We start from the raw sequence: 18,139 nt of genomic DNA, 5'->3' as shown, positions 1-18,139 counted from the left end.
AGTAGTTCCCAAAGTCTTTACATTAAAACATGAATTCCAAGGATGTTAATAGATATTCCTGAAAAGACTATCAAGACTAAATAAGTTTGACTTGCTTACTGCAGGACTGCTCGGAGGCTTTAAAAATGCTAGTGGGTTTTGTGAATTCCTTGTGCATGGGTACTATACAGTAGTGTGTATGGTTTCTGAAACTTATAATTTCCAAAATACTCATTTATACTTCAAAGTTCTAGCATACTGAGAAACAAGATTTACTAAATGCTGGAATGGAAGAAGCAAACATATAACACATAAAAATAGATTACAAAAAGGCAAATAATTCATATAATAGATGGAGTGTTCACAAATAAGTCTTCCCTGTATAACTAAACACTTTGAGAAATTTGTATGCTGCTTTCAATATCTTCTGAATTGAAGATATCTTTTAGATCTTCTGAATTGAAGATATCTTTAATATCTTCTATTGTGAATTTGAAATTATCCAAAATGTGAATCCAAGAGTGGAATCCCATAGTACATCTGTATTTTTCCCTCTGCATTTGAATGTTAGCTATTTGAATATCTTCTATGATGAGGACACTGGATTATAAAGTATAAAATTGCGGGCCGGGCGTGCTGGCTCATGCCTGTAATCCTAGCACTTTGGGAGGCCGAGGTGGGTGGATTGCCTGAGCTCAGGAGTTGGAGACCAGCCTGGGCAATACAGTGAAACCCATCTCTACTAAAATACGAAAAAAAAAAAAAAAATTGGCCAGGTGTGGTGGCATGCACCTGTAGTCCCAGCTACTCAGGAGGCTGAGGCAGGAGAATTGCTTGAACCTGGTAGGTGGAGGTTGCAGTGAGCCGAGATGGCGCCATTGCACTCCAGCCTGGGCGACAGAGCGAGACTCCATCTTCCAAAAAAAAAAAAAAAAAACAAAATTACATTGATGGTGAGGTATCACAAGATTCACAGGACCTTGAGCTTTGGGTTCTCTTTGATCCTTTGGGCTTCAAAAAGCAACTTGCTTTGCTTTTTGAACAAGGTAAGACAAAGGTAACAAGGTAAGACAAAGTAGATTCAGACTAGTTTCAAAGAAAACATCTAGTCAGTCATACAAATGATAGACATTTGTCACCATAGTTCAGCAATACAATTTAACAACCGAAGGGTTCTACTGAGGGCCAATGGCTAGAATTATTCACCAGTATTGCCAGCTTTTTAACACATTGCCAAATATGCTATATTGCCAAGTATGTTAGCCAACTTGGCAGTATGACAAAAGGGTGAGGTTTGGAGTAAGAGACTTGGGCTTGGATTTCAGTTTCACTACTTAGCTCTGTGACTTTCTTTTTTTTTTCTTTTGAGATGGAGTCTAGCTCTGTTGCCCAGGCTAGGGTGCAGTGGCACAATCTCGGCTCACTGCTACCTCTGTCTCCTGGGTTCAAGCAATTCTCCTGCCTCAGCCTCCCGAGTAGCTGAGATTACAGGCATGTGCTGTACACCTGGATAACTTTTGTATTTTTTAGTAGAGACAGGGTTTCACCATGTTGGCCAGCCTGGTCTCGAACTCCTGACCTCAAGTGATCTGCACACCTTAGCCTCCCAAAGTGCTGAGATTACAGGCATGAGCCACTGCATCCGGCTGCTCTGTGACTTTCTATGAGCTTTAATTTTCTTGACTGAAATAAGAATGATGATACTACCTCTCTTAGGGTTGTTGGAAGTTAATTAAGCTAGTATGTGTGAAAGGGCCTGACTAGTACTGTAACAAATTGATACCGGGGTTCTCAATAAGTGAGGTTTTCCTTCTTAATGAAATAAAGTATAAGCACTGGCAAGGCTACAGCTGATCTACTTTCAGACCAGAAAGTGTTTCTTTTCTCCACTCAGTTTCACACAGTTTGATGCTTTTGTTCTCCATCTCCCCTCTCCCTCAATTGTTTTGGTACCAATAATTTCTTTTTTTCCTTCCCTCCTCACACCATCCTGTTTCTCACTACTAAAGAGACACAATGCTTCAACCAATTCTTCATCTGTTAACCGATAAAGTTAGCAGATTAAAGTTTAAGGTATTTTACCCTCTCTGGTAGTCAACCAATAATACTTGAAAACACAAAAGACTCAAGGATGCTGAAGAATGAATCTCAAATGGCCAAGTTTCAGCACCACCATGGATGGTGCATGAAATTTTTCTGAGGGAGGCTTCTTGATAACACCTCATATCCTTTTGTAAAGCAATTATTTATTGAACACCAACTGTATGCCAGACACTCTCTTTGACAAGCTAGCACTGTGTGGTATACCCTTTATTGAATAGGCTAGTCTTACTCTTTTACTTTTCCCAAACAACATTTAAAATGGAAATATATTCCTTAAAGAGTCTGCATTTCTCAGCCTCCTTCTGGATCTTTCCACATTTTGACAATCATCTCAAAGAGGAAAGCTGATAGATAAAGATACTAGTTATATATGACATCTGGGCTGACCTCTTAATTCTTAAGAAACAGAAATAATTTGCTATTTTCTGTTATTAATTGGCATACTAAAAGATGGTATCTTTTCGAATTTTTGATTTTTAATTACCACCTTACATAACTTGCAGGTACCTTTTTTGTTTTGTTCCTCCCAAAATGCTAGAATTACAGACAAGTGCCACTGTGCCCGGCCATTCCCTACTCTTCTGAAATGAAAACAGTCGAGTTGGGAAAGCCACTGCTGTCTCATTTTTTAAGATGTGAGTCTTATAAACCTATGAAGTAACAATATCAGATGACTGTGGGCAACCAGAAACTTCAAATACAACTTAGTAATACACATGATAGATTGTGTATCTTGTTGGTGAAGGGCAGGTGCATGATAACATCTAATGTCCCCCAAAGCAGAATTTTCTCAAAACAAGATGCATCTTTGAAAGTCCATCCAATTATTAGACATTTTTACAAAGGCCAAGAGCAACTTTCTTAAGACACATGCTAATTTTATTCTCCACGTTGTATGAAAACCCTGAATTATTATTGAGAACCCTGAATTACTGAGAACCCTGAATATTATTGAGCTATATCATATAAGTGAAAGTGTCCCTTCTGTCTGTATAATTAGAATGTCACCAGAAGATCAGTGTAGCTTATTTGACCAAAACCAATCTAAACAAACTCCTGCAAAACAAAAAATCAAAACAAATACTGTACCCTGTAATTATTGCAGGTAGAAATTGAAGAACTTTACCTGCTGTCTGTCTTCCTAGTGGTAATAATACTCAGGAATATGATCATTGATATCTTCAGCCATCCGCAAACACTTGTTACTTTTGGTGCTTAAATATCATTTTAAAAGTAAAAATATACTTATAAACTGTAGCAATTAAATAGTTAGAAGAAGCAGAGTTAATAATGTACTATAATATTTACTAGAGAAATACTGAAAACCAAAAAGTCACATTGATAGTAACTTTTCTTCCTTGAGCTCACTTCTAAAGAACTATAACAAACTAAATTACATTTAAACATACAATAGTCATTAACTAGGCAATCACTTACTGAGTCTACCATAGGCCAGACATTAAAAATTTTTCTTAGTCCAGCAACCTTGTATATCGTAAGGATCCACAAAATTAATGCAATGAGAAGGGAGAGGTGAAATTATAGACATTGAATTTTGAATTCAAATGTTAGCTTCTTTAAATGCTCCCGAGGTTAAAGATTTGTCCTCCTCCTCCCAACTGAATCTCAGTGTTGGAATGATACACAACATTTAAATGGAAACTATTGAAACTTTGGCAGATACCTAGAAGTATGGTTTTGAGTTGCTATTTTCTTGGATAATTTACTTACTGATTAAATTACCTACTGTGTATAAAGTGTGATGATAGGTGTGGCTCATCAGGTAAATTGTTTATTTTTTATGTATATATATATTTTTGAGATGGAGTCTTGCTCTGTTGCCCGGGTTGGAGTGCAGTGGTGCAGTCTTGGTGCACTGCAACCTCCGCCTTCCGGGTTCAAGCGATTCTCCTGCCTCAGCCTCCCGAGTAGCTGGGATTACAGGCACATGCCCAGCTAATTTTTGTATTTTTAGTAGAGATGCGGTTTTGCCATCTTGGCAAGGCTAGTCTTGAACTCCTGACCTCAGGTGATCTGCCTGCCTTGGTCTCCCAAAGCGAGGTAAATTGTTTATTAAACAGCAAATGAATAAATATAAAATTGCTTTTCAATTAAATGATTAGCTTGAAACTATAATTCAAGGGTGAACTTAAGGCAGAAAATGCGTCTTCATCACCTTTTTAAATTCCCAGGTCCTGAGTACCTAACACAGTAGGCATTTAATTTTTTTTTCATTGCTACAATAAGGAAATATAAGATCTAAAAATAGAAATTCTGAAGTAGTTAGGATAAGCTCCTATGGAAGCTACTCAGAAATCTTGATTAAATAAAGACCTTTATACAGTTTATAGAAATGACTAATTTCTAGTTTTTCCTTTTGGTCAGTGCTTGCTGTGGGGTAGAAATTAAGTCATTATATGTAATATATACATACAAAGTAGTATCTAAAACTAGACAAACCTGATATAGAAGCTTTTTTTTTTTTTTTTTTGAGATGGAGTCTCGCTCTGTCGCTAAGGCTAGAGTGCAGTGGTGCGATCTCGGCTCACTGCAACCTCTGCCTCCCAGGTTCAAGTGATTCTCCTATGTCTGCCTCCCCAGTAGCTGGAATTATAGGCACAGGTCACCACGCCTGGCTAATTTTTGTATTTTTAGTAGAGAAGGGGTTTCATGATGTTCGTCAGGCTGGTCTTGAACTCCTGACCTCAGGTGATCCACCCCTAATTGAAAATTACTTCACATTACCCCAGAAGAGAAAGCTATGCTCAAGTTGCGTACAATCAATTTTATCATAAAGATATGCTAAGTCTGCTGCACAGTTAAAAAGGACAATTCTTTAGAAGCTGAGATACTTTTAATCTAGATTCCGTCTTCCACTCATCACAAATCTCTGCTTTAAAAATGTTGATTTTCATGTATATTCAGCAATTCTTATTTGCAATTCTTCTGGGTAAGTCAGTATTTTCTTAAAACTAGTAACACTTATTAAAAGGCTTTTTCATACTGAGAAGACAAAAGGACTCAATGCCTCACATATGAGGCAAGTGAAAAGAACATTATTTTTATTAATCTATTTGAGTTTTGAATATATTGTTTTATTCATTTCAAAATCTGAACCTAGGCTGGGTGCGGTGGCTCATGCCTGTAATCCCAGCATTTTGGGAGGCCAAGATGGGCGGCTCACTTGAGGTCAGGAGTTCGAGACCAGGGTGGCCAACATGGTGAAAACCCCGTCTCTAGTAAAAGTAAAAAAAATTAGCCAGGCATGGTGGCCGGTGCCTGTAATCCCAGCTACCTGGGAGGCTGAGGCAGGAGAATTGCTTGAACCTGGGAGGTGGAGGGTGCAGTGAGCCGAGATCATGCCACTGTACTCCAGCCTGGGTGACAGAGCAAGACTCTGTCTCTAAAAACAACAACAAAAACGGAAGATAAAGAGCTTTGACAACTTAAGTTTAAAAAAGGAGACAGCTATGTATTTTATAGCTTAGCTTCTACCTAGTACATCTTCATAAAAAAAACTCATTGCCTTTAAAATTACCCCTTTTCAAACAAAATACATGTGTACTTGGAGATGCAAACTCACAGTAAGAACACAAGATCATTTTAACAAGCACTAAACTGAGGCTCAGGGAAGTTAAATAACAAGGCTATGGATACTTGGTCAGGTTCAGAAAAGTTTGCACCCCAAGTTCAAGGTAAAGAAAGGCTTCACTGTTCTGAAGTCCCTAGTATGGCAAAGTTACATGGCCATCAGAGAGCTAATTAAAAAAACTATGTTTAAATTATTTCCATGTTTCAGAGTTCTCCACCTCTAGACTCAGAATGCAGTTTAAAGATGTGACCTGAGACATTTTTGTTTTCCCTTGAGAGGAAATGCACAGTTGGAAGTTCACAAAAACACCTCTTCAAAAAACAGTAATACTGTTTTCATCTTTATAAAAAGCTTTCATCACAACTCTTTGGTGGCACTTCATGCCTTCAAGTACTCATTTTGGTGATCGTTGGCTCCCTTTTAGTCTGTCTCACAAGCCAGGTTATAAATGGTTTGAAATCAGGGGCCTTGTTTTTACTTTGAACCCATCGCAGAGCCTGGCACAGCGTGGCAGAGTGTGCGCCCAATAAATACTTGAGTGGAATTACACTGAAAAACAGGAAGAAGTAAAGCCATCTTCCATCTGCCAAAGACTGTGATGTTGCTGTATTGGTAATTTTCATTCTTAGAAAGCTTTAATGTGAATGAAATTATTCCTTACTGTGCATTTGAAAATTCCACTGAAAACAGTTTTAAAAATTAAGCATGCCCTCTTAGAGGCAGGGGGCACAGTTCTGGACAGATGAGAAAAGTGACAGTGACATCTCTGCATTGTTCAGAGAAGAAAGGTCAACAAAGAGTAGAAATAGAACACTCAACCCACCCTGCATTCTTTCCCTAGAACATTCTCTGTGTGTCCCTTATCATTTAAGCTTTTCATATGTAGTTTTCTTGAAACTGACCATATGCTCTTTTGGGGTGAGGGGAGGAGACGGAAGAAGGAGATGGAGAAGGTCTGAGATGATTTTTTTCGACAGCAGCGTCCACTTAGGCCCTTGGGGAGGCCGGGTCACGGGGCCTCCTTGCACCAGTGGTCTACAACGTCTTGCCTGCGGTTTACAACCGCTCTTTTAAAATAATTTCCCTTTGGGACGGCCCCCGGCTTCTTCCTGCCACCCCCATCCCCACCCCGCCCCCATCCTCATCCTTAGAGGCCCCAGGCAAACGCTTCGGATTCCCGGTTAGGTCTCAGAGTAAACAGCACGCTTGGAGGATTACAATCGACCCGAGGCCAATTCGACCCTTTCCCTTTGCCGCCCTCAATTGACCCTTGAAGCAGCCCCTGCTCTCCCTTCAAATGGAAAACCCACAGACACACACACAAACAAAAACCCCAAGTCTTCCTTTCGGTTGCTACCCGCAATGACGTTTCCCCCCTCGGGTCCCGCCCCTCCAGGGGGCTTGGAATTTTGGGATTGGCCGAGAGGCTGTGGCGACAAGGCCCGGATTGGACAGCATGGCGCTGACTGACAGCGGGGGCGGCCGCCGCGCCCTCCCTCTCTCCCCGGTGTGCAAATGTGTGTGTGCGGTGTTATGCCGGACAAGAGGGAGGTGACCGTGGCGGCGGCGGCGGCGGCTCTGTTTATTGTCCCTCTCGGTGTGTGTGTGTGAGGAAATCGGGGCTGCAGCGAGGCTAAGGCTGCCTTTGAAGCAGCGGCGGCGACCGGGACGACTACTCTGGCGACTCGAGTGGCTGGCCTTCGCGGAGTGTGAGAAGGACAAGGCACCTCTGCGTCCTCGCCACGTCCGAGCGCCTCGGGCTCCCCGGCCGCCCTCGCGGCTCGCACGCCCGGGCTTCAGCCCGGCCTGCAGCGGCGCCCGCGGGCGGGCGAGAAGGCAACGCCGCCGCTCGGCCGCCGCCGGTCGCTCCCTGCTTTCTCCTCAGCCGCCGCGCTAGGCCCGGGCGACGCGGACGCCGCGCCTCGAGTTTGAGGGCAGCCGGCGGCGCGGCCTCCTCAGCGGGCTCGGCTGGACGTCCGCTCCGGATCTTCGCGATGGGGCGCGGGGGTCGGCGCGGCTAGGAGTGCGGCGAGTGGAGCGGTGGGTGCGGAGCGGCGGGGCCCAGCGGCCCGCAGGGAGGCGGGAGCGGCGGCTGCGGCCTCAGGGCCTGTGAGCTGGAGGCACTCGCCATGGCCAAGTCGGGTGGCTGCGGCGCGGGAGCCGGCGTGGGCGGCGGCAACGGGGCACTGACCTGGGTGGTAAGTGGCTGGTCCCCGGGACGGGCGGCTGCATTGTTCCGGGCCCGCGGCGGGGGCGGAATTCCGAACGGGCGGGGGAGGGGAAAGGGAGGGAAATCCCGTCCCCCGAACGGGCGCTCCATAGGGGCCTGTGCTTGCAGAATCCTCCAGCCCGCTCCCCGCGCCTTTTCTTTCTTTCTTTCTCTGTACGTCTCTGGAAGTCCTGACTGCCAGAGCGTAATGTGTACTTGAAACTTTGGGGGGACAAAACCGCGAACGTAACATACAGCCCCCGCTTCCTCTCTTTTCTTTTTAACCAGACTCTTCCGGGGCAGCCGAACCTGAAATGGTGGGGATGGCGATAATGCAAGTGTGTCTGTGTGGGGCAGCATTTTCTCCAAATGTAGTTCAAGAAAACCCTGGGAAAAGGGGTGTGTGTGTGTGTGTATTCTAAATGCAGCTCTTTCTGGGGCTTTAATCTCAAAGAAGAATGCATTGGGATTTCTACAGCAACTTGCACTTCAATTTGGAAAGCCTCATTCAATGCGCTCAATTGAGAGCGCATTGGGGATGACTTTCACAGCAGTTAATACTGTAGGTCGTCCCTCTGTCAGGGTGAGATTATTAAAAGAAGTGCTTGTCTACGTCAGCATCGCAGGTGTAACGGGGTGAGGGCTGAATGGATGTCCTGGAGAGGTGACTGAAGTGCTTAGTCCTGAAGTTAAAGGATTTCGACGCTCAGTTCTTGCTGGGAAGTAGAAGTAACTGCAGCGGAAGGAGGAAGGGAGACTGGATTCCCACGACAGATCGATAATTCGCCGGCATTTCACTTGCTCAGCGTAGAGTTCAGACCAGGGTCATTTCCTATACAGAAAACCTAGGTATTTCGGAGAAAAGTAAAAAGTGTTACATTTTTCTGGACTTTTGACGGTCTGTTCCCCCGTCCCTGTTTTAAATACCTCAAGGGAGCTTTCATATAGGCATTTTTGTTACTTAGTTCGTTTTCTCTTTGTTTGGGTGAGGTTTGGGTGAGTTGAATAGCAATTTGTGCTATATTGACAACTGCTTCTTATAAAAAGGGTGCTACTGACAGCAGCAAAACATTTTAATCACTTATGTTTGCGTGCCAGGGTACATTGCAAAATAACTTGCCATGCTCTTATTGTTGAAATTCTTTGAATGTTGTATATTACTCCGATTATGTAGAATGAAAGTATGAAGGGACTAGGGCCAGGAGAGAAAATGTCAGATACTAAGTTAGTGGTCCATGTGGACTTGCAGTAGAGGGTATGTGAGAGGAAGAAGGAGGAGATGGACACATACATGCAAAATAATGACTTTCAGAATTAATGGCTTTTACCCCTGTCACTAAAATCAGACATCGGAAAATTGACTTAGACAGCCAAATGGTATTGTAAGTTCTCATTCACTATTTGGAAGTGTTGAGGCCTGATCGGTGTTTCCTCTGAAGACCTCTGGTTCTATAATGGTAAACATTTTGCTCCGTAGTGGATTGTTGGCTTTAACATTTGATAGCAGTACTTTAATTAACTGTTATATAATTTTGTAGATAATTAAATGACAATTTATTTCTTTCAAGCTCCATAGGAAACTCATTGCTAATTTAGCAAAACTTGGAGCATCTCATTCAAGATAGAAAAATCCATTTGAAACTGAAATTGACTTATTGATTAAAGGAATTTTCATTATAAAGCAGATTATGGAAAATATGGGAAATGCAGTAAAATAAAGAGAAGTGAAGATCACTTAGTGTTTTATTTATAGAGTATATCTTATGGAATTAGAAGTTTATTAAAAAGATAATCACTCCTGTAAGTCTTCTTTAAGAGTTGATGCTTACTCTAAGGTTATATGAGCATCTTTATGTCCATAATATACATCATTGATCATATAGACTGGTTTGATTTTATGGGAGGCAATATAGTGAGGTAGTTATGGGCTTTGACGTCAGGCTGATGTAGGTTCAGATACTGTCTCTCCAACACATTTAGTTGGACTTTTCCCAAGGAACCTAACCTTTCTAAGCCTGTTTTTTTATCTGTCAAATAAGGTTGCATTGAGAATGAAATGAGATAACGTGTGTAGCACAGTGCTGGGCTTAATGATGTTTGTTATTATTGGTGAACTTCAAGAAATGCACACTCAAATAATAGATTGCAGTTGCTTTTACATAAAATATCTTTTAGCTGGGGTAAAAGCAAATTAATTTTTCCTTTGCACGAGTTGGGGCTTTATTGCAGTGGTCATCTGTTTTGAGAAAGGTAACTTCGTCTGCTTTATTGAAGCTAGTGTTATGTTGCCACCTGCTTGTGGTAACAGAAAGAAATAAAAATAGAATTAGCCCCTGATTTCTTTCTTCTGGGTGAGGAGTTGTATGCCATGTGTTGCTGATATTAACTACTGTTGGGATGCATGCCAGCATGTGTTGTTAATGTCATTGCATGAAAATTTGCCTTTCAATATCTGAAACTACAAAGCCAAGTGGTTTTAGGACTGGCATTAACTTATTTTAATAATTCATTTGGTTTGTGTTTGATTTGTAGGAGTATCTCAACCAGAATTTTTTATAATTAAAAAAAGTGAAAAATATAAACATGGCAAAGCTATTTTGATTTAAAATGTATAGCAGTTACAAAGGCTTCTCTTAAGGCAGCAGGGTTTCTTGAATTAATTCTTTGTAGAGCTTTGATTAGTAGATAGTAATAGTCTGGTTCATTCTGTCAGTCTTGTATCATAAGTGATTGTAACAAAGACATTTGTGGAAATACTAGAATACAGTTATATGACTTAATCTTTTTCCCAACAATATTCTAACTTGGTAGATTAAAAAAAATTTTTAATGGAAAATGTTAAGCATCTCAAAAAGTGGTAACCAGAGTAGTATAACAAGCTTCCCTCTATTTAGCCTTAAGCTTCAATAATTATCAACCTGCCGGGTGCGGTGGCTCACGCCTGTAATCCCAGAACTTTGGGAGGCCAAGGCAGGCGGATCACCTGAGGTCAGGAGTTCATGACCAGCCTGACCAACATGGAGAAACCCCATCTCTACTAAAAATACAAAATTAGCTGGGGTGGTGGCGCATGCTTGTAATCCCAGCTACTCGGGAGGCTGAGGCAGGAGAATCGCTTGAACCTTGGAGGCGGAGGTTGCGGTGAGCCGAGATCACGCCATTGCACTCCAGCCTGGGCATCAAGAGTGAAACTCCGTCTCAAAAAAAAAAAAAAAAAAATCAACCTAAGACCACCCACTTTATCCCTTCTCATTCTTTTGAAGCAGAGCAAATCCTAGAATTTTATCACTTTCTCTGTAAATATTTCAGTATTTATCTCTAACAGTAAAGTCTCTTTTTGAAAAACTGTATAACCACAAATAACATTGTAGTTTTCTCAAAAGTCACATTTTTTGAAATATATAACATATTTTTGGAGTGTGAATATCTCTAATTAAACATGACTATGTATTTAAATATTGTTTAAAGATTTATTTTAAGAACCTTGCTTTAGTGGTTTACTGTTGCGAGTCTAAATTGCTGAGCCAGACTTTCATAAACTATGTGCCCTTTCCAATGAAATTTATTTATTATAGTCTCCATAGTTAGATTTATCTCTTCACTGTCCCCTACACAAGTTAGGCTTGTTTTTGTCACTTTGTCTTTACATATTTGCCTTCCATCTGGAATTACTTTTTCACTTCTCTTTACTAGTCTAAATCTTAACTGTTCTTCAGGGCTAGCTCAGAGCCTTGTCACATTATTATTTTCCAGTTGATACTCATCTTTTTCTTTCATTGAATGTTTGTTACTCTCATGAATCATAAAACAGAAGTCTTTATTTTTTATGTAACTTTCATGCATGATAACTTTGCCTTAATATTACAAATTTCTGAAGTTAGAGAGCATGTATTTTCCTTGTTTATGTCCTTCAGAGTGTTAAACAAAGAACTGGATACGTAATCCAGTCTCAGTTATTTAAAAATTGGATAATTGACATGCTGACTTCCTAAAAAGTCTTCTGTCATTAGTAGGACAAGAGTTTAAGTAGCAGTGTTTTTTAGATACATTCTCAAGTACATGATATAGCAGTATTTAGGCACGTTTTTAATAAACTTAATTTTTCTGAATCGAAGTATGTTCACCTGTAATCCCAGGTTTGTTGGTTAGGTGGTGGCAACAATTGCATTTTACTGAGTACACTTTAAAAAATAAACTTCTTGAATTTTTAAAAGTATTAACACGTATAGAACCCCATTTTAACGAAAAGTTGAAGTAGCTATAGTTATTCCTATTTGCAGAGAAGGAAACGGGTTTAGAGATTAGGTAACAAATTCTTAGGCACATGGTTAAGGCACAGGTGGAATTTAAACCAGACTCAGTGTTCTTAACATTTACACAGCCTTCAACTTTAAAAACATTGAAAGACAAAACAACTCATCTTTTATACTCTGATAAGACAGAATAAGGAGACATCTGGGATATACCTGTCTTTTTCTACTAACCTTTTACTTTCATACAAAAAGCTAAGGAGTATATTTCCTTTTCAGAATATGTGTACTTAGTATAGCATAATGCTAAGAGTATGGGCTGTGAAATCAGATCATCTAGTTTCATAATTCACCTTTGTCAAGTACTAGTTTTGTTAGCTTTGGGAAAACACTTATCCCAACCTTAGTTATCTCATCTGTACAAAGGGAATTATAACAGTGTCTATTTCATGGAGATACTATATAAGAATTAATTAAGATTATCGTAGTGCTTGGCACATAGTAGCTCCCAGATGGGTTCACACATACATTCTCCCTTCTTTTTTAATCCAGTGATAAGTATTTTCATTCCCTTTATTATAGAGAAAGCCTATTTTCATAGCAGAAGTCTAAGCATTTGTTACTGTCTTAAGTATCTCTTATCTCTTCCTTGCCCCTTTGTTTAGAAGGGTATTTCTGAAGGAGCATAGACAGGGGACAGTTTGTTGCTTTTTGCTTCATTAATGGTGGGTAGATAACATGGCCTCTCCATTTACATATAGGTGAAATATGGTTAGAATGAACATCATGGGATGGCAGCCTTGAGGGAGAAAAGAGAGAGGAGACATTATAAAAGGTTGGTGTTAAGTCTGAGGGGATTGTACAGAAGAAGGTAAAAGAAGGGGCTCGTTGCTAGGCTGCCAGCCCCCACTTCCACTCTTGTTGGCCTGGTGATGGTGAGCTTTCTGTGTTGATTATGTGAATGAGTGGCTCAGTTCTTTTTTAGTACCAACTGGCAAACCATCTCCTTTACCCTGTTTGTCAGCAATTCATTCTCCCTCAGAAAAACAAACTGGGTGCTTCTGCCAAATTGCTATATTTCAGGTGACAATTCTGTCCATTGAAGAATCTTTTGTTTTGTTTTGCAGAATGATCTTGGTGTATAGTCGTTCTGAAAAATAGGAAGTTTTACTGGAATGTTTTCCATTTTCTTCTGAAGACTGAGAAATGTTCTTGAAAAAGATCAAATCTTGGATTAGTATTAAATCTGTTTTTTTATTAGGCATTAGCAATATTGCAAAAGTGCCATAAGATAGGTTAATATTTAAAATATATAGTCTATATAGTTATTTTGGTATTTTTGTTATAATTTTAAATTTTCCCTAAATGCTTTGTTTAATTTGGCAGCTGACTTGAAATTCAGAAAAAGTCAATGATGTTATCATCATATTTATAAATGAAAAAGAATATAATTAAAACAACTTTTAGATATGTGTAGGAAATTTAATATGGTGATTATTTTACACTTTTATTGTCTTCATGATAATGAAAATGTAGCCTTGATTTTTTAGATTCCAATTTAATTGGATGCTGGCATTGTTTATTACTATCAGTAGTTTGGTAATTTGTTCACATAAATTAAGGCAGGGAAATAAATTACAAATAAACTTAACAAGTTTTCAATCGTTAGTCTCAACGCAAATTTATTCAAAATGCTTTTGGTAAATAATAATAATAATTATTATTATATATTTTTTGAGATGGAATCTCGCTCTGTTGTTGCCCAGGTTGGGGTGCAGTGGCGCTGTCTCGACTCACTGCAAGCTCTGCCTCCCGGGTTCTTGGCGATTCTCCTGCCTCAGCCTCCTGAGTAGCTGGGACTACAGGCGCCCGCCACCATGCCCAGCTAATTTTTTTTTTTTTTTTTTGAGACGGAGTCTCGCTCTGTCGCCCAGGCTGGAGTGCAGTGGCGGGATCTCGGCTCACTGCAAGCTCCGCCTCCCGGGTTCACGCCATTCTCCTGCCTCAGCCTCCCAAGTAGCTGGGACTACAGGCGCCCGCCACTACGCCCGGCTAATTTTTTGTATTTTTAGTAGAGACGGGGTTTCACCGTTTTAGCCGGGATGGTCTCGATCTCCTGACCTGATGATCCACCTGCCTCAGCCTTCCAAAGTGCTGGGATTACAGGCGTCAGCCACCGCGCCCAGCCGGTGAATTATTATTTTTAAAGGCATGTTGTTAATTTTTATTCAATGTGGAGTACTGTGAGCAATTGCTATAGAACATGATATCTTATTACTGTGAACATATAAGAATAAAAAGAGGTAAAATCAAAAGACTCTTCTGGGTCTAAAGTGAGTATAATTCTGTTAGCCTGCATGTGTCAGATATACATCACTCTCTTTTATGATCTGTAAAGTTGAGGTGCTTTTATAAACATGCAGATAGGAGTTTGCTAGTTTGTGGTTGTTCAAGGCAATTTGCTGTTCTCTTTTCTGAATATTGTCAGCAAGAGTGTTAAAATTGAAGAGCTACCCAGGGTGACATTTTTTTTAAGAGATAGAGATAGTGATGATAACAGCAAGGGAGAAGGTGCAGAATAGGTTTCTCATTTAGCTTCTCTCTTCTAAGGCCAAAGGTGGTTTGTATTAAATATGCATACCTGTTCTAGGGATGGGATCATCATATTAACTGGGTAAGTTGCCCTCTCTCCCCTTACCCCAGATTTTGATTTTTAGTGACCTGGACATTGCTCAGGGGACAACTTTCTGCTGACAAACAGGAGTTGAAAGAGACTATTATTTCAGGTTTCTGTTACAAAAACATATAAAAGTCTCAGGGGAGAACCTCCTGTGTTTGCCACTAGTGAGCCAGTGAGCAATGTAAATTACCATTTGTTGAGAATGGGAACGTAAAAGACAAATTGGATTCTAGTGTTAATTTCTACTTTCTACTCTGCCAAGGCTGCCAATCTTATTTGTGTATTTTGATTTTGTTTTTGCATAGCCTCTAGTGAGAAAGTTGGGGTTGCAGAAGTAATAAATAGGTGTAAACATTGCCTCTAGGAAAAGAAACCTTCAGTTTTATTCTAGCTTAATTATGTTTTCACATACTTGGGTTAATAAGCCTTTAACATATTTCTTTATGCATTCATTGTAGAAATTTAGAAAAGGTGTAGAAAAGATAAAAGTGGCATGTATTTCTACTCTATAGATAATTTTTATTGATATTCTGTTGGGCATATTTCACATTTTTTCCTATGCATGCATATATTATGCATAATTTTTTTCTGACAAAAATGGGCTCATGTTTTATATATACTCCTTTGTAATGCCCACTAAACAGTGCCATTTTGATAAACTACTAATTTAAACATACTTGATTATCTTTACTAATATAAATTTTCTATAAAAACTAGAGCAATAAAAGATTAACACCAATTATTTTTAGTATAGTAATTATAGACTTATTTACTCATTGAAACGTCCAAGTTTAAGGGTTTATATTAAGGATTTTTGTTTGTTTTTTATCTATTTATTTATTTATTTATTTTTGTGATGGAGGCTTGCTATCACCCAGGCTGGTCTCAAATTCCTGGGCTCAGGGGATTGATCCTCCGGTCTCAGACTCCAGAGTAGCTGGGACGACAGGCCTATGGCACCATGCCCTAGGTTTTATAAGTTGTTTGATATTATAATTGGCAGTTGATTTGAAATATCTGCAAATGACTTCCATTGTATTCTATAAATAATGTGTATCCCTTAAGGCTTTTCCTGACTTTAAATAGAATGGTATATCTTTTTCTTTCCTCAATAGTTGTCATATGATATTTAGAAAAAAGTGTATTGTCACACATTCATCACACTTATTTTACAGTATTTCTATGTTCTTCCTAGAGAAAATTACAAATAATATTAGACAAAGTCATCTACATTTCACATGTTCAATTTTTTTTGTTGTAAAAAAATACAACATTAAATTTACTGTCTTAGCCATTAAGTGTAGAGTTCGGTAGTGTTAAATATATTTACATTGTTAAGCAACAGATCTCTAGAAGTATTTCATTTTCCCAAACTGAAACTATATCTACTAAACACTAATTCCCTCTCCCCCCAGCCCTTGGTTAACCACCTTTCTACTTTCTGTTTCTATGATTTTGATTACTGTGGATACTTTATATGATTGTAATCATACAGTATTTGTCCTTTGTGACTGGCTTATTTTGTTTAGCATAATATCCTTGAGGTTCATCCATGTTATAGCACATGACAAGATTTCCATGTTTTTTGAGGCTGCATAATACTCCATTGTATCTATATACGCATTTTAAAAATCCATTCATACACCAGTGAACATTTGGGTTGCCTCGCCTTTTGGCTATTATGAATAATACCGTGATGAACATGGGTGTGCAAATATCTCTTTGAGATTTTGCTTTGAATTCTTTTGGATATATACCCAAAAGTGGGATTGCTGGATCATATAGTAATTCTATTTTTAATTTTTTGAGGAACCTCCACACTATTTCCATAATGGCTGTAGCATTTTTCTAGCATTTTATATTCTCACCAACAGTGTAGAAATGTTCCAGTTTCTCCACATCCTTACCAACAGTTATTTTCTGATGGCTGTCTTAATAGGTGTGAGGTGATATCTTATTGTGGTTTTGATTTTCATTTCTCTTATTAGTAATGTTGATTATCTTTTCATATGCTGTTGACCATTTGCATATCTTATTTGGAGAATTGTCTATTGAAATCCTTTATCCATTTGAATGGGGTTATTTTGTTATTGTCGAGTTATAGAAGCTCCTTATCTATTTTGGATATTAACCATTTGATGGTTTACAGATATTTTCTCCATTCCATACGCTGCCTTTTCACTCTGTCAGTTGTTTTCTTTGGTGCACAGAAATTCTTAAGTTTGGTGTCCTGTTTGTCTATTTTTGCTTTTGTTGCCTGTGATTTTGGTGCCATATCCATGAAATCATTGCCAAATCCAGTGTCTCAAAGGTTTTCCTTTATGTTTCCTTCTAGGAGTTTCAGAGTTTTAGGTATTACTTTTAGGTCTTTAATCTATGTTAATTTTTGTATGTGGCATGAGAGTCCAACTTCATTCTTTTGCTTGTTATCCAGTTTTCCCAGCACCATTTGTTGAAGAGACTGTCCTTTCCCCACTGTGTAGTCTTGGCATTCTTGTGAAAAATCATTTGGCCTTTTATGTAAGGGTTTATTTCTGTGCTCTCTCTTCTGTCTGTATGCCAGTGCCACACTGTTTTAGATTTCTGTTGTTCTGTAGTAAAATCAGGTTTTGAAATCAGGAGGTGTGAGGCCTTTAGCTTTATTCTTCTGATTAAAGACTGATTTAGCTCTATGGGTCCTCTTGAGATTCCATATGAATTTTAGATTTTTTTTTGTATTTCTGCAAAAAATACCATTGGGATTTTGGTAGGAATGGCATTGAATCTGTAGATCACTTTGGATAGTTTGGACATTTTAACAATATTTTAAGCTTTTAAATCCATGAGAATGGAATGCCCTTCCATTTATTGGTATCTTTTTTTCATTTCTTTTAACAATGTTTTGTATTTTGACATTATTCTCACCTCTTTGGTTAAGTTTACTCTGTGGTAGTTTATCCTTTTTGATGCTATAGTAAATGGGATTGTTTTCATAATTTCCTTTTTTGATTGGTCATGGTTACTGCATGAAAACATAACCAATTTTTGTATCCTGCAACTTGCTGAAATCATTTATTAGTTGTAATAGTTTTTCTGTGGAATCTTTTGGGTTATCTACTATAAGATTATGCCATTTGTGAGCATAATTCTACTTCTTTTCCAATTTCTATGCCTTTTATTTCCTTTTCTTGTCTTAATTGCTCTGACTAGGACTTCTAATACTATCTTGAATATTGATAATATTGGGCATCCTTGCCTTGTTCCTCCTGATCTTAGAGGAAAAGTTTTTAGTCTTTCACCAGTATATGTGCTGTTAGCTGTTGGCTTTGTGTGTATTGCTTTTATTA

General features: G+C 39.1%; 1 protein-coding gene and 1 non-coding gene across 6 annotated transcripts in view, besides 4 other annotated features; both read left to right on the top strand.

Moving 5' to 3' along the window:
- Positions 6,894-7,457: an enhancer, noted in NCBI's record as "H3K27ac hESC enhancer chr3:25706135-25706698 (GRCh37/hg19 assembly coordinates)". NCBI's record gives its function as "activates a minimal SCP1, AML or CMV promoter by ChIP-STARR-seq in primed H9 embryonic stem cells {active_cell/tissue: H9 hESC(primed)}" and the evidence as "EXISTENCE:reporter gene assay evidence [ECO:0000049][PMID:30033119]".
- Positions 7,162-7,228, top strand: MIR4442 (microRNA 4442). The gene has a single exon (NR_039644.1). It is a non-coding gene; the product is annotated as a microRNA 4442 (primary transcript).
- TOP2B (DNA topoisomerase II beta) overlaps positions 7,194-18,139 on the top strand; it is a 67,003-nt gene continuing 56,057 nt past the window's right edge. For 4 of the 5 annotated variants that reach the window (XM_047448821.1, XM_011534057.4, NM_001330700.2 and 1 more), the window contains exon 1: positions 7,194-7,872. In XM_047448821.1, the coding sequence (XP_047304777.1) occupies positions 7,804-7,872 (69 nt within the window). In that variant the 5' untranslated portion in view covers positions 7,194-7,803. The remainder of the gene's footprint in view (positions 7,873-18,139) is intronic. The other variant, NM_001068.3, reaches the window with a different exon arrangement.
- Positions 7,625-7,984: a silencer, noted in NCBI's record as "silent region_14146". NCBI's record gives its function as "represses an Ori minimal core promoter by ATAC-STARR-seq in GM12878 lymphoblastoid cells {active_cell/tissue: GM12878}" and the evidence as "EXISTENCE:reporter gene assay evidence [ECO:0000049][PMID:35858748]".
- Positions 7,939-8,127: a silencer, noted in NCBI's record as "fragment chr3:25705465-25705653 (GRCh37/hg19 assembly coordinates)". NCBI's record gives its function as "represses an EF-1alpha promoter that drives an FKBP-Casp9 reporter gene in an ReSE screen in HepG2 liver carcinoma cells {active_cell/tissue: HepG2}" and the evidence as "EXISTENCE:reporter gene assay evidence [ECO:0000049][PMID:32094911]".
- Positions 8,415-8,544: an enhancer, noted in NCBI's record as "active region_19608". NCBI's record gives its function as "activates an Ori minimal core promoter by ATAC-STARR-seq in GM12878 lymphoblastoid cells {active_cell/tissue: GM12878}" and the evidence as "EXISTENCE:reporter gene assay evidence [ECO:0000049][PMID:35858748]".

The sequence above is a fragment of the Homo sapiens genome, chromosome 3 (assembly GCF_000001405.40).
Source record: "Homo sapiens chromosome 3, GRCh38.p14 Primary Assembly".
NCBI lineage: Eukaryota > Metazoa > Chordata > Mammalia > Primates > Hominidae > Homo > Homo sapiens.
Note: the sequence above shows the minus strand (reverse complement) of the source record. Positions and strands in the feature narration are given on the sequence as shown.